At 35.1% G+C, this 15,851-nt stretch overlaps 1 protein-coding gene across 11 annotated transcripts in view, besides 1 other annotated feature; it reads right to left on the reverse strand.

Moving 5' to 3' along the window:
- Positions 1–15,851, reverse strand: part of FERRY3 (FERRY endosomal RAB5 effector complex subunit 3) — a 50,735-nt gene that overhangs the window by 34,385 nt on the left and 499 nt on the right. For 5 of the 11 annotated variants that reach the window (NR_144380.2, NR_144379.2, NM_001346153.2 and 2 more), the window contains exons 2-6: positions 13,898–14,100; positions 12,038–12,183; positions 7,750–7,931; positions 3,365–3,464; positions 3,135–3,256 (exon numbers count right to left, since the gene is read on the reverse strand). Coding sequence is in view for 7 of the 11 variants with exons in the window: in NM_001346153.2 (NP_001333082.1) it covers positions 3,135–3,256; positions 3,365–3,464; positions 7,750–7,931; positions 12,038–12,183; positions 13,898–14,075 (728 nt within the window). In the remaining 4 variants the exon portion in view is untranslated. The remainder of the gene's footprint in view (positions 1–3,134; positions 3,257–3,364; positions 3,465–7,749; positions 7,932–12,037; positions 12,184–13,897; positions 14,101–15,851) is intronic. The other 6 variants (NR_144382.2, NM_001352962.2, NM_001346157.2 and 3 more) reach the window with 2 other exon arrangements.
- Positions 13,251–13,310: an enhancer, noted in NCBI's record as "active region_5825". NCBI's record gives its function as "activates an Ori minimal core promoter by ATAC-STARR-seq in GM12878 lymphoblastoid cells {active_cell/tissue: GM12878}" and the evidence as "EXISTENCE:reporter gene assay evidence [ECO:0000049][PMID:35858748]".

Consider the following 15,851-nt stretch of genomic DNA (forward strand, 5'->3'; position numbering starts at 1 on the left):
GGGGATGCTGATAATGGGGAAGACTATGCATTTGTAGGTCAGGCGGTAAATCTTAGTACCTTCCTCTCAGTTTTGCTGTGAACCTAAAACTACTTTGAAGAAATAAAGTCTTTAACTGATAAACTGCACTTAACTAAAATGAAAAACTTCACTCTCTGACTGACACTATTAAGAAAATGAAACGACAAGCCACAGAGTGGGAGAAAGTATTTGTAAAATACATTATTTGATGATGGACTTGTATCCAGAATATATAAAGAACTCTCACAACTCAATAAGAAGACACATTTTTCCAGCACATGAAAAAATGTTAACATAATTAGGCATCAGGGAAATGCAAAGTAAAATTACGAGCTATCACTGCAAAACTTACTAGAATGTCTAAATAGCAATATTGAGTGCTGATGAAGATATGGAACACCTGGAACCCTCATACATTGGTGGTGGGAACGCAAAATTGTACAGTCACTTTGGAAAATAGTCTGGCAGTTTCTTCTGAAGTTAAATGTACACTTACCATATGACCAAGCAATCCCATTCCTAGGGGAGAGGGATTGCATATTTATGAAAGAGAAATCAAAACACATGTCTACACAAGACCTGTTCATGAAAGTTTACAACAGCTTTATAATTGCTAAAATCTGGAAATATCCAACATGTCCATCACTGAGTAAATGGATAAACAAATGGATGATAGAATAGTACTGAGTAATAAAAAGAACCACTAATAAACACAACAACTCCAATGAGTCTCAAAAGTATTATGCCACATGAAAGAAGCAAGATACAAATTGCTACATACAGTTTGATTCCATTTATGTTACATTCTAGAAAAATCAAACTACAATGAAATAAAACTACCAAAAAGGGAAATTCTGTATTTTGATTGTGGTGATGATTTTATGACTAAGTTTGTCAAAATTCATCAAACTGTACACCTAAAAGAGAAGAATTTTAACTTTATGTAATTTATTCCTCAACTGACCTGACTTTAAAGAAAAATAAAGCAAAAATAAATTTTAAAATACCACTTTTATCAATCACATATAAGGGTTCCATATATAGTTGTGTTGAAAAGAGATCTCTCCTGCCCAAAGAAACATCTATCAAAAAGAAAAGCAAAGTAACAAAGTCACAATAAAAACATTATTTCCTAGGAATACTTGATTTTTAAAAGCAGCATCAGCTACAGGCCAATATTTACACAAATGAAATTGATTCTACACTTTTACACTGTTGGTGGGACTGTAAACTAGTTCAACCATTGTGGAAGACAGTGTGGCTATTCCTCAAGGATCTAGAACTAGAAATACCATTTGACCCGGCCATCCCATTACTGGGTATATACCCAAAGGATTATAAATCATGTGCTATAAAGACACATGCACATGTACGTTTATTGCGGCACTATTCACCATAGCAAAGACTTGGAACCAACCCAAATGTCCATCAATGATAGACTGGATTAAGAAAATGTGGCACATATACACCATGGAATACTACGCAGCCATAAAAAAGGATGAGTTCATGTCCTTTGTAGGGATATGGATGAAGCTGGAAACCATCATTCTCAGCCAACTATCACAAGGACAAAAAACCAAACACCGCATGTTCTCACTCATAGGTGAGAATTGAACAATGAGAACACTTGGACACAGGGCGGGGAACATCACACACCAGGACCCGTCGTGGGGTTGGGGGAGGGGGAAGGGATAGCATTAGGAGATACACCTAATGTAAATGACAAGTTAATGGGTGCAGCACACCAACATGGTGCATGTATACATATGTAACAAACCTGCACGTTGTGCACATGTACCCTAGAACTTAAAGTATAATAAAAAAATTTAAAAAAAAAGAAATTGATTCTAAAGATTGAATTTCTGAAACTCTAGCAGCAAAGTAAGAGATAACTTTTTTTTTTTTAAGAGTTTCTCACTCTTGTTACCCAGGCTGGAGTGCAGTAGCATGATCATAAAGGGATAACTTTCACAGCAAAGGGCTTTCACAGCTTCCTTAAATCAGTGGCTTTCAATGTTTCTGACTACAATATACAGTATATATTTTACATTTTGGCTCAATATACACATTCATTTATAGAAAGCTTCACATATGATGCACCCTGATTTTTTTCCTATTGTTATTTTTAAAAGGCTCGTTGGAAAATAAGGGATGTAGAATGGTTCATAGCAGGCTGCAACGAACAGTTTGGGGAAAACAGTAAGGCAAATGAAAAACTGTAATATTTAGATAAGAGATGATAGAGATGTCAGGTAAAGACTTTAACAATAACCTATCCATCTGTCCATCCATTCATCCCATAAATTTTTACTGAGCATGTCTTATGTGCTAGTGTCAAGAGCTAAACACTTGGCAAGGAACTGGGTACACAACGAAAAAAAAAAAAGACATGAGACTGACATTATACAAATAAAATGCTATTTAAAAATATTTATAGCATACACTGGCATATGCTGGAAATAGGATTATTATACCGTACTCAGTATATTTCCAACTGAATATACTTTAGGATTTGAAAAATATTAATTCTCAAACATAACAGATACATAGCCAGGAAATAACATAGGTATGGTCAAGCTCTAAGGGAATATGTGAAATACAATTTATCTAGGCCAAGAGATGCCATACAAGTTATAATTTATGAGAAATCCTCCATGCTATTTCTGTACCTTCTACATGCTTCTGTTACTGCACATACCACTCTATGCAGTATTATTTTATTTATAGATCAGTCTCTCTTTCTAGAATATAAGCTCCATATAGGCAGGGGTTTTTTTTGTTTGTTTTTCTGCTTAGAGAGTGTTTGGCATTCAACCAATGTTTACTGCATGGAGTGGAAACTAAAGAAATAAAGATAGTATTTAAGTATTTAGGTGTATGTATCTAGAACATAAAACTAAAGTTCTATTTCAAACTAACCAATAACCATTGCCCCCCAAATAATCCACATAAAGCCTATAATGCAAAAGGTGGTAAAAGCACAGCATAAAATTGTCTTGAACTTTCACTAGCAAATTAAAAAGACATACAGCTAAAAGGTTTAACTTTGTAGTAAATATAAACATTACTAACAATGGACTACTATATGAATAAGAACAATACATAGTTAATACCTAAGGGAGCTGTTGTTGGGGTTTTTTAGGTCTTGGTGAAGTTTTATTACCCATTCTTGATACTCTTGTTTTTGGATGGCAGTTGATTGTTTTAATTCATTCGACCATTTATTTTCTAGGTCCTAAAAGAAACAGTATACCAACTGGTTAATTTTTTTAACAAAAACAAACAAACAAAAAAACAAAAGAAAATGCAACTGCATACCTAAAAGTCACTGTATTTCACTTACTTGCTGGGATTCAAAATGCTGAGCAGCCAGTGAATTTACATCTTGATCTGTCAGTGATTTTCCCAATTCCTGCATGACTTTTTCCATTTCAATACCTTGTCTAAAACACAAATAAACAAATCAGGGATATTCATCAAACTTTCAAGGTATATGATCCTTCAGATTCATCAAACAATCTCTATAAAGTGAAAATAAAAAATTTATTTTATAGAAATGTGTCCAGGAATGAGAATTGTAACTGGAAAGTACTTTAGAATCCTTGGAAATGGAGACTAGCCAATAACGATGATAGTGTCATATAATATCAACATCATTTGTGCAGCTAAATTTTCATCTAAATGTATTGCACAGACGAATGCAGTCAAAATCTAAGTTACCTTTCAATTACCATGGCTAATGTTAAAAACTCTGGACCCCTTTTCACCTGCAAATTTCCTCAAAGAAGAGGCTCTGCAATTTCAGCTTAAATGGATTTTCTATTTGTATATGAACTAAAGTGACTTCAACCTCTGAAAGTTAGTTTACATTATATCCAGAAGCAGACAATTAGATCCTGAGTCAAATTACTATTAAGTCATAAAATTTACAGAGAGACGTAAAATACAGTCTGAAGATGTTAGTCACACCTTCTGCATTTATCCAAAGAAATAATGTGCAAAAATTAAAAATGGTTTTTCCTACAGGAAAAATTAACCAATGGTGTTAGAAGTACAGATAATGGTTATTTATGAGGGAAAGGGTAAAGGACTAGAAGGGCATGAAAGAGGACTCTGTAATGCTGGAAATATTCTATTTCTTGATCTGGGCAATGGTTACATGGTCGTGCTTAATTTGTGAAAGTTTAATGAGCTGTACACCCACAGTTTGTTGCCTTTTCTGTGTGTATGTTATATTTTAATAAATAAGTTCACTTAAAAAATTGAAATTAAAGATTATCTTCTAATACAAATGTATGCAAAAAGTTTGTTCTAAAACAAATTTCTAACAAACTGGGAAAGAACAAAACACAGATATAAACTAAGAGGATTTTATCATCCTAGTTAATTCAGGTAAATTGCTCTTAAGAGTGAATTTTTGGCCAGGCGCGATGGCTCATGCCTGTACTCCCAGCACTTTGGGAGGCCGAGGTGGGCGGATCACCTGAGGTCAGGAGTTCAAGACCAGCCTGGCCAACGTGATGAAACTCCATCTCTACTAAAAATGCAAAAATTAGCTGGGCATGGTAGCGGGCGCCTGTAATCCCAGCTACTTGGGAGGCTGAGGTAGGAGAATTGCTTGAACCCAGGAGACTGAGGTTGCAGTGAGCTGAGATCGTGTCACTGTACTTCAGCCTGGGCAACAGAGCAAGACTCCATCTCAAAAAAAAAAAAAGGGTGAATTTATACTTATTTATAACACTGATTAAGATATATATATATGATAAATTAAATTCAAGCAAGTTACACATATATACATTTCTATATATACCTTCTGGTAGTAAATATTCAATATCACTTAAATCCCACTTAGTTCTAAGGCAGATGACTCCATTAACTTTTAATAACTATTATGGGTCAAATGAAAATTATGCTTGCAAGTGAGATTCTTATTTAGAAACAGAAATAACTGCTAACCATTTATAAATACAAACAGATATAAATATATATTACTATTTTACATTACACATGTTCCCTCTAGTGGATAAAAGGTATCATTGCCATTTTTAAAGTTTAAAGAAATATCTAGAATCTGGTTTGCTTAAAAAAAGAGCACATCTCTTGTGAAGAAAAAGACAGACAGAAATTCAACAAATAAAATTTCATGAACATTTATTTCATCCTAAATATGTCCAAAAGGCAACTAGCTAATCATATAGTTGATGATACAATATATTTTTTCTATGATTAAGATAGAAGAAAATTTTATTACGTCTCAGATGAAATACTAAATATAGCCTGGCTCAGTATGTGAGATGTGACAACTCTGGCAACCTATATATTATCTTGAAGATACTTTAAGAAAAAAAATCATTATAACTTGTATTATTGATGCTGTGCCGAGAAACTGTCTTTTAAAGATGTACAATGGCATTAAAATGAAATAAGAAAATGTGTCACTTCTGCTCATGAAATGGATAAATAAATTAAGCACCAAAATTTCGGGTCAACCTCCACAGACACTAGTGAATTTCAACTTACCTTAAGTCATACTGTTCACCTTTGCAATAAATATTACCTACCAGAGGAATACAGCTTATTTTTCTTTTTCAAGCTAGCGGTTTGGACAGGTTAAAAATAAATTACAAAACTTTTAAAACTAGATGAATTCAAGTATTATTTATATGTTTAGAAAGAAAAAAGAAGGCCAAACCCCATCAAGAAATATGGCCAAATATGATTTCAAACAATAAAATAAGTCAAAACAAACCTCTACTAAAAAACTATTCCATGAAAAAAAAAAGTATGAATACCAGTAAATGCAGGTAATTAGCACGTTAATTGAACTTCCCAAAAGATGAAGAATCATGTAGAACACAAATCTTCAGATTTAGAATAAGGAAGCATTATAGACTATTAATGGCTAGATATATAGTTTTCTAGGGGGTAGAGGCAGCAAACTATGCTGCAAGTTAGAGTCACTCAACAGCTCAATGAAAGTACTAGGAATGGAAGTATAGGGAGCCAAAATGGGAATTTATCAATATACCCAAAGAGGCAGAATGAGTATAGTCACAGAAAACCTGACGGCTAATAACAGATTCAGGATGACTTGAAGGTTATATTATTTGAAGGCCTAGGAGGAAAAATCAAACAAATGAAGTTCAACAGAAAGTAATTAATTAGTATTAGGTAATTCTACTTTTACGTATTTTTAAAAACCTAATTCTATATTTTGTTCTTCTTTTTAAACTATATTCACAATTTTATGGGCTACATAATAAAGAACTAGAAAAAAATTTTGTCTTCCCCAGGGAAATATGTTTCAACTATATACCTAGTGGCAACCACTCACTGCAGGTATCTCATCAAAAAGGAATAAACTGCCCCAATACAGCTGGTCAACAAACCAAACCTATAAACAGTGACAAATATCTCAAAACAGCATGTTCTTTTTGACAAAGAGATCATTCTAATATTTTACAAAGTATGAGAATAAGTGGTCCAGAGGAGTACAATTGTTATGAAAATTTACAAATCTATGCAATATAATAAATATGCTAATTTAGTACACAGAAGAGAGTATCCCTCAGGAACAATTATTAAATACATTTCCTTATTATTTTTCTGTACTTAAAATTTTCTTAACCATGACAATGCTCCAAAGATTATTCTCATCTTGCTAGCCTTACTGTATTCTAATGGGAAGCTAATGAGAACCAGGAACAAACCAGCACATCTTTTTAAATTTACTCCTTTGGGACTATTAAATCAGTTACACACACACACACACACACACACACACACACACACACACACAAACAAAAGTGATTTAGTCCTAATATACTCTCACAATCAAAGCAACACTAAAACTATTATCTTAATGGCATATACACCCAATGTCTTAAATAAGTGTTTTTAAGATAATAAATATTATTAGATTCTGCTAAATTACAATGGATTATCTAGAAGGACACATCCTGAATTCCTATCACAATTTATATAGAGTTACTAGAAAGCAGTCAGGGAAGCCACTTATTACTTTAAAATAAATAATGCTAGAAGTTTTTTACATACTCTGAAGAAAAGATAAATAATAAAAGCATTGTTTGTATACTGTGTTAAGTAATCCATACAGCAGGAATTCAAATCTAATTACAATTTCTTGGAACAATACTAGTGTTATTATTTTTTTCTAAGGTACTTGAGCGTACAAAATGAACTGAAAGAGCCATGGTCATAGTTAGAGCAGGGCAATACAGAGGTTCTGAATAGGGAGACAGAATGGTACAGTGGTTAACAGTTCTGAAGTCAGGTTTCCTGGTTTCAAATTCCAGCATGCCCTTGGACAAGTTACTTATTTAAGCAAAAACTTCTTCATCTGTAAAATGGAAATAATAGTAGGGTTATGGTAAAGATCAAATGAGATAGGGCATCCAAAGCAGTTTGCACAGTGCCTGGAACAAAACAAACCTTCAACAGAAGTAATCTATTCCTCTTATTAGAGATAAGAATATATAAGGCCCACCAGTATCATTTACTTAGTTAAACCACTCAGAAGGTATATAAACCTATGAGGACCCTCCCAGTTGTAGTTACACATTTAAACATACAAGAAAATTAATTTCTAATATTGAAGTTTTTTTTTCTATCTTATCCTTTTTGTAAAAAATAAAAACAAGTTGTTCTGCAGGCCATCTATTTGACAACGTAACATTTAATTCTGATAATGCAAGAAATTTGAAATACCTCTCTCGTAATTTTTTCAGCTCCACATCTCTTTCACCAATCAGTTCTGAGATACTAACAAAGTAATTATGTTCCAAATTTAAGAGAGTTTCAGAGGCAGGAGAATGAATTAAGTCATGGTACACATCTGCAAAATCTTCATCCCAGCTGGGTTCTTCAGGCCTTGCATGCTCTAACGTGGTCTACAAGATAATATACAGACAATCTTAAATCATGATCTAGTATTTTTATTTAACACACTACTAGAAAAGTATGTATGATTCCATTTTTGCACTTCAATGACAGAAAGACCCTCTTATATATATATGTGTGTGTAAATATATGTGTGTGTATTATACAGGATTGTCTAAGCACAGAAAAAAAAAATGTGGAGAGATACAGACTAAGTTCTTAATATAAGTTACCCGGAAGCAGAAATGAGAAGGAGGTACTAATGTGGAGGAAGGGATAGGAAGTGTCCACAATAAAAGCTTATGCTGTGACCTCATTTCTGTGAAATCACACACACACAGATGATCAACAAAATGCTAATGGTGGCTATTTCAGGACAGTGGGATTTCTGATAGCCTTTATTTATATTCTAACATACTGTATGGTAAAATAACTTGCATGCATTAGTTACATAATCAGAGAAAACTTTTCATTATTAAAAAAATACTGTTAAAGTAGGTTACATATTTAGAAAATAAGGTGACCTATGTGGTCACCTGCGAATGAAAGCCAAATTCATGCATACCTATATCAAGATAAATGTGTAATTATGCATTTAGTTTGACCTTTTCTAGTGTTACATTTTCTTTTTAAAATATCAGCAGGCTTTTAAGGATATAAAAATGGTAGCTATTAAAATGATGAAGGGACTGAGTAAACGCTGATAGACAAGAAAAGCAGAAACAGGGAGAAACAAAATGGGAATGCCCTCAGCACACACGAATACATCCAGGGAGGTACAGATGCCTATCCCAAGGGCTGCCTCCTCAACTCATCGGAGGAAACTGATACACTGAGAAGTCAAAGATCATATGACTTAATGGCATTAAGTGGAAATAAAACAAAGATTTTGATGTTTTTTCCATTATAGATCTTTGCAAAAGATACCTGTAAAAAAAAAAACTAAATTCTTCCCTTTTCTTACCCACGAAAATATTAAAAACTGGAATTTATAATATGACTTAAGAGTAATAATTTACCTTAAAACAAACAAACACATCACATAAACAGCTATCTTGAACTCAGTCAGTCAACAGGAAAACTTTTCTAATTTGTTCTCTTTCACTTCAATCAGTTGCCACATCAAAAGGCAGGAGACTAGCTGAACCTAGAACTACGATTTCATCTACTCTATGCCTCTGAAACTCCAAAACTGTTCTGATAACTGTTCATCTTTAGACGTGCGACTGCTGTAGGAATTATAACCAGCCTATGGGACTTAACTTCTGTTTAAAATTCACTTCAGGGCAAAGTTGAAATTTTGTAGGGAGGAGCTACTGTAAGACTGTAGGGATGTGCTTGGCCACACACAACACCAGATGTTCAGTAGCCCCACTACCAGATCATCTAACTACAAAAATCTGCAGCATTAATTTTAAACTCAGCCTAGGGGAAGCTTTATGAATAGGTAGAAGATACCTACGTGAGAAGAACTAAGCATAGGTTTTTCCTTGACCTAATTTACGCCACTCCCTCAGGACAGATGCTACTAGAAAGGGGACTGGGACGGCTGAGAGGAATGGGGCACTGAGGAAGTGACTGCAGAGAGAAAGCGATTCAATGTCCAGGCCATTATTTCTCCACCTCCACTTTCAGGCATAACGCCTGACTTCTTTGAGGTTCAAACCATTCAGCACCCCTTATCTTTCATGGCCATCATTATCTAACAACCTACCTGTCTGTCACTCACCCTCATTCCTGTAAAGCTTTGGCACCAAGTTCAAAGAATTCCTCTCTGCCCCACATCCTGCCATCAACCTGGGTTACTTGGATATCCATGTGGAAACCCATCCAAGGCACTGCCTTCTTACTTTCCCGAACTCTACAATCTTTACTGTGGAGTCCCAATTAGGGAAAAGGAATCAGGCTGGCAGGACCAGGGGAAAGCAAAAAGAGAAAGCAGATAAGCTATAAGTCTGCCTTTCCTCATGGTCCAGACCAAGCTTGTCCAACCTGTGGCACAGGATGGCTTTGAATGCCGCCCAACACAAATTCATAAATTGTGAATTTTTTTTTTTTTTTTTTTTTAGCTCATCAGCTATCCCTCATGTTAATGTATTTTATGTGTGGCCGAAGACAATTCTTCTTCCAGTGTGGCCCAGGGAAGCCAAAAGATTGGACACCCCTGGTCCAGGCCACGTAGCCCTCCTGCACTCACCTTTCACCAGACACCTGCAAGATAGCTGCAAGACTGCAGCTCACTGCAGTCTTGGGGTTATCAGTACTGCACACAGCACTGTACAGCATACAGCATAAACGCTGTCCTATAAAATCTCCAGCAAGCCTTTGTTTCCTTGAAGTCAGCTTCTCTTCTGTTGGCCTGCCCATTGCCTCCTCGCAACATATTTTCCTACTTTCTCTAATAAACCTACCTTTCTTTATCTACAACTGTCTTGGTAAATTCTTTTACCCCTGTACCACCAGCCCAGATAGTCATCGTTTACCTGCAACATTTACTAGTTCTCCACACCACCTCAGCCATCCATTTAGTATCCTCACCAGAAACTCAGTCCGTCAGTATTCAAACATTCTAGTCTCTGACTACAACCTCCACCCAAGATTTCTCGCTCAATAATCCCCAGGTAATTGATATTTAACCTCATCAGGACCTCCACTTCATAAGTTTCTCAATGTTTTCATTTTTTTTTAAATCAGCCATCAACTGCCACTTAGCTTCACTTCTTTCCCTATGTAGCTTACATTTTGTGATCTAGCATTCAACCACTGTCTTGCCGATATCCTCAACTCCCTTGACTGATGTACCTTATATTACCCACCTAACAAAACCCTCATCTTATTCCTCTTCTCTATGCCTGCAGTCGGGCTTTAGAGAGCTGTAGCAGAAAAATCACAAAACTCTATAAAGTTTATGGTGACAAACTGGTGCCACTCTTAATCTTGGCCTCAATGATGCCTGGCAATCCTATCATTCGCTGCTCGGTTTTCTCCTTAAATATCCAACAATCTTTTTATACCTACTGCCTCATCTAAACAAATAACCTGTCTTTCCTTAAAGTTGAAACACTCAGAAGAGAATATTCTCAACTTCCTGCTACCAAATTAATAAAATTATCTGAATTTATATCCAACCTTTCCTGCTTCTCTTTGGCTGTAAGTGGAGAAGCATCTGTCTTCCCAGTTATGATTAATTCTCCATTTGAGTTCTGGATTCTATCCCTTCTAGTCCTAAACTTTGCCGCCTTAAAAAACAAACAAACAAACCTCTGACCTTGTGTTCCCATTTAGCCAGTGCCCCATCCTTCACCTCTTTATATTCGAACTTCTTCAGTTAGTATACTAATTCTTCCTATTTCCACACTCCCACATGCTTAGAGTCAGTGAAATCTCATTTCCACCACCACCAACTTACCGAAACTGATCTTGCCACAGACAAGATTACTTGATAAATACAATGGATATTTTTGAGTCTTTTCTTTGCCTCTTATACTTGATGTCATCTTGGCATTCTCTCATAGTTTAATTTGCAGTGCTCTTTCTTAGTAAATAAAATCATTTGTGATATACCTAATGGCATCTTAGACTTTATGAAACAGGGTATATTATTTAAATAGAAAATGATATGATGTGACTACACAACAATAATGAAGATAAGTTTATAAAAGTAAACCAAAGGTTACATGAATGCTGTTGCTGATTTAGGGTTGCCAGATAAAACACAGAACACTCACTTAAATTAGAATTTCAGATAAATAGTGAACAATTTTTTTTAGTATAAATATGTTCCATGTAATATGTTGATATACTAAAAAATATTCATTTATCTGAAATTCTAACTTAACTGGGTGTCCTATATTTTTAATTACTAAATCTGGAGACCCTGTGCTGGTGAGATATATGCAAGTAGCCTCTTGTTTTACAAAGGTATTACATAAATAGCATTTTGTCTTATGTGCTCACCCTGATATAGGAAGCACAGAAGCAGCAACATATACATTATAGAATATTGTATGTGGAGAAAAAGGATCTTATAACGATTTCAGGATTACCACAGCATTTTAAAAATTTTCACCAAAATCCAGAATATCCTTGAAATTTACAATCTGACCTATTTTCTTACCTCAGCATAAGCTTTGGCCCATGTACTCGCCAGCTGATGTAAATCTACTTCACCTGATTTCACAGCTGCCAGGGATGCTTCAGCATCTCTATCATAATCGCTGAGGGATTCTTCTTCTATAAACTGAGTCAGAGCTTCTTTTAAGTCTGTTACAGGGACATCAAACACCATCGTCAGCAAAATCCAGGTATAAATAGGGAACATTTTACTTGGCTGAGAATTCCAATGTGAAATCTTATTGTTAAATTTTTATTTTTTATTTAGAGATGGGGTCTCTCTCTCTGTTACACAGGCTGGAGTGCAGTGGCATGATCACAGTTCACTGCAGCCCTGAATTCCCGGACTCCAGTGATCCTCCCACCTCAGCCTCCCGAGTAGCTGGGACCACAGGTGCATGCCACCATGCATGGCTAATTTTTGTATTTTTGGTAAAGATAGGTCTCACCATGTTGCCCAGGCTGGTCTTGAACTCGTCAGCTCAAGTGATTCACCTGCCTTAGCCTCCCAAAGTGCTGGGATTACAGGTGTGAGCCACCTTGCCCAGACATGAAATTTTATTTTATCAAGCTGATACTCTTAATAGAATCTCCAACTAAAATGAAATCAGCTTAGGGGATCATTTAACTAATTTCATGATTATTTTCCTTTACTATTACAGGCTATTGCATAGAGAAAGGTCAAAAGTCTTAACTCTTACGTATTCCCTTGATACTAATAAAGTAATGTTACTTTCTTAAGCCTGATATTTCAGTTTGAAGCCAAGTGGGTATAAGGACATAAAGAAAATGCTACAGATTTTGAAGGTCTGAACATTACTGTATTTACATTAAAAAGAGTTTTCCATGTAACTTTAAAGGGTACATTGTTACATCCTTTGAAAGAGAAGTTAAATGACTAGCTTATTAACACATTTAACTTAGATGACTGACCGATTTCAGTTTTACAGACACCACTTAGAGAATGATATAACGGAAGAGCACTGAGAGAGAAGTTAGGACACCTGTGTTCTGGCTTTGGCTCTATTATTATCACTATGTTCGCGACTTTAGACTGTGGTTCACAATCTTAAGTGTGCATTAGAAACCCCTGGAGGCCTTATTTAAACAGACTGCCACATGCTACCCTAGTTTCTGATTCAGCAGAAATGGGATGCAGCCCGAGAATTTGCATGTCTAACAAGCTTGCAGGTGATGCTGTTGCTGCTAAATGATTAGAAACCATATTTCAAGAACCACTGCCTAGGGTAAATAATTTAACCTCTTTATGTTCCAGTTTCCTTGTTTGTACAATGTGATTGGGCTATAAAGTTTCTAGGTTCTCTTATAACTCTAACCTGTGATCTAACATATTCTGAATTTTAAATTTTTCCTAGACTGTGAGATAGAGCACAGACCTTTAAAAATGGTTTAATACATCTAACTTTATAAAACTAATTTAGGTAAGCAAAGACTATTCAAAAATTAGTACACTTTCTGTTCTATGGCATCTCAGAAATTAATGACCAGATTATTAAAAGGGCAACCAATTTAGCACTATAATTCTATTAGCACAATTAGCGATAGCTAAACTGCCTTATAACTTCACCCAACTAAATTCAGAAGAGCTCCTCTAATTCCAAACTTTGTAGCTAATTTTTCATTATAAAATCTAATTTTTATATTTTATAAACAACTACCACTTATAGGAAAAAACACTCAATAAAAGAAAGCTCTGGAGAAATGTTTTTATTCTTGGAATCAGTTCCTATGTTATGGCTGTTTCCAAAGCTTCTTAGGTTTATGCTTTCTAATATGAAACTTCCAATGACAGACTATTGAAACTAATAAAGTGGTGTTACTTAAAAAAAAAAACAGTCCTCACCTTTTTCTATAAAGCACGGTAAACTGTGCAGCAGCATCAGACGTCCATGCAAATGACTGGCATTCTCTTGAACAGGAAATTTGAGTGGCACTCTCAGTTCTAAGCACTGACTTCCTACTTTAAATTTATATACAAATTCTCTCTCTCTATTGCAGAATCTTTCTCTGTTTTTCTTCATATTCTTTGACAGGATTTCTACAGAACTAACAAAAAAGCAGTAGGTTATAAGTCCATAAAGAAATTATGTTTCATTATTGCTGTCCCATTTCTAAGAAAACATTCCACCATTCAAGAGATTTTGTCTATGAGCCAATTATTCTAGTTTTTCCCAAGTGTTTATCCCTGTACTTCCATCTTCATGATGAAAACAAAGTGCTTCTTTAAAAAAAAAAAAAAAGACACTTTGTTTTAAACTTGATTTAAGAAAAAAAATTATGGCCATAAAGTACTTTATATTCCAAGGCAGGGTTCTCAATAATAGGGAAGGACCATGGAGAGAAGAGCAGAGAGAATTCTTAGGGAGAGTTCATGGGTGGGGAAATACAAAGCTTAAGAAACCGTTGGTAAAAAGAAAGTCAAAGAAGCAGATCAGGGACCAAGGAGTGATCCTGGAGAACTTAGAGGTTGTGGTCATGAGATCCGACTGGGGGAAGGGGAGTAAGAAAGTGTTAGAAAGATTTCCATGTGGGAAGAAGATACACAGAAAAGAGAGAGTACAGGACCTCCACTTCCGGCCCACACCCCAAAGGCAAACTAGACACTACTAAGGAAGAAGAAAATCTAGTTAAAGGCAGTAAGAATCAACATCAATTAAAGATTTATTTATTCATCAGCCTTGTAACTGGACTTCCTATGGCTAGGCTTTCTCCCATCAAATCAGTTCTTACATTATTTTCTACACTGAAGTTATAGTAATCTTCCTTTTTAAAAAAGGAATATACTTATCTGATCATGTTGTTCATCCGCTTAAAAACTTTCTATGACATTCCATTGCTCTCAGGATAAAATGCAAACTCTTTATCCCAGTTTACAACACCCCTGCTTATATTTCCACTCTTCTCTCAGAAACTGCACCTCTCCTTCCTAATACACAAATTCACAAATTTTATTTTCCAGCCATTCTGAACTTCTGTCAACACCAAACTTCTCCTTCCATGCCGAATCTTTTTGAATGCCTTTTCCTTTGCCTAGAGCACTCTTACTGATCTTAATTTCATTGGATAACAATTGCTAATTCTTCAGGTCTCAGTTAAGCCTCTAGGAAGACTTATCCAACTCCCTAAAACTGGATTGGGTCCCGACAGGCTCTCATATTAGCCTAGACTTATTTGAATCATGGCACTTATCACGCTCTATTTCTTACTCTTGGCTAGAAAACAGTCTTCTTGAAGTGGAAGGAATACTGTCTTGTATTCCATGTATTAGGCAGGATGTTGCGAATGGCAAGAACTAATAAATAATTGTTGGATTGTATGGCGTTTTTATTTTATGGTGCTCACTGGAAAAATAAAGAACAAAAAATTATTCATACGGTTATTTAAAAAGATATCACCTGAAATATAAAAAAAACTCAAAGGACTTTTGTACATGTCGTGGGGCGGGGCTAAGTTGAATTATCCAGACTATATTTTCAAATCTGTATGTAGGCTATACACAAAAATCTTCGTCTATTTCACCATAATGCAAAGAGATAGGGTATTTGTTTTACTCAGAAAGAATTAAAATTAAACGTAAAGCAATACAAATTTTTATAATGTTAGAAAACTACCAAAACTACATAAAGGTATATTCTATGATGTAGAAATTTCATTCCTAAGTATATATCCAAATACACACACACGCATATGTTCGCTAAAGTACACCCAGAAGAATGCTCATATAAGTTTTATTTATAATACCCCAAACTGGAAACAACCAAAATGCGTATTAGTAGGAGAATAGTAAACTTGTTTAT

The sequence above is a fragment of the Homo sapiens genome, chromosome 12 (genome assembly GCF_000001405.40).
Source record: "Homo sapiens chromosome 12, GRCh38.p14 Primary Assembly".
Taxonomy (NCBI): Eukaryota; Metazoa; Chordata; class Mammalia; order Primates; family Hominidae; genus Homo; species Homo sapiens.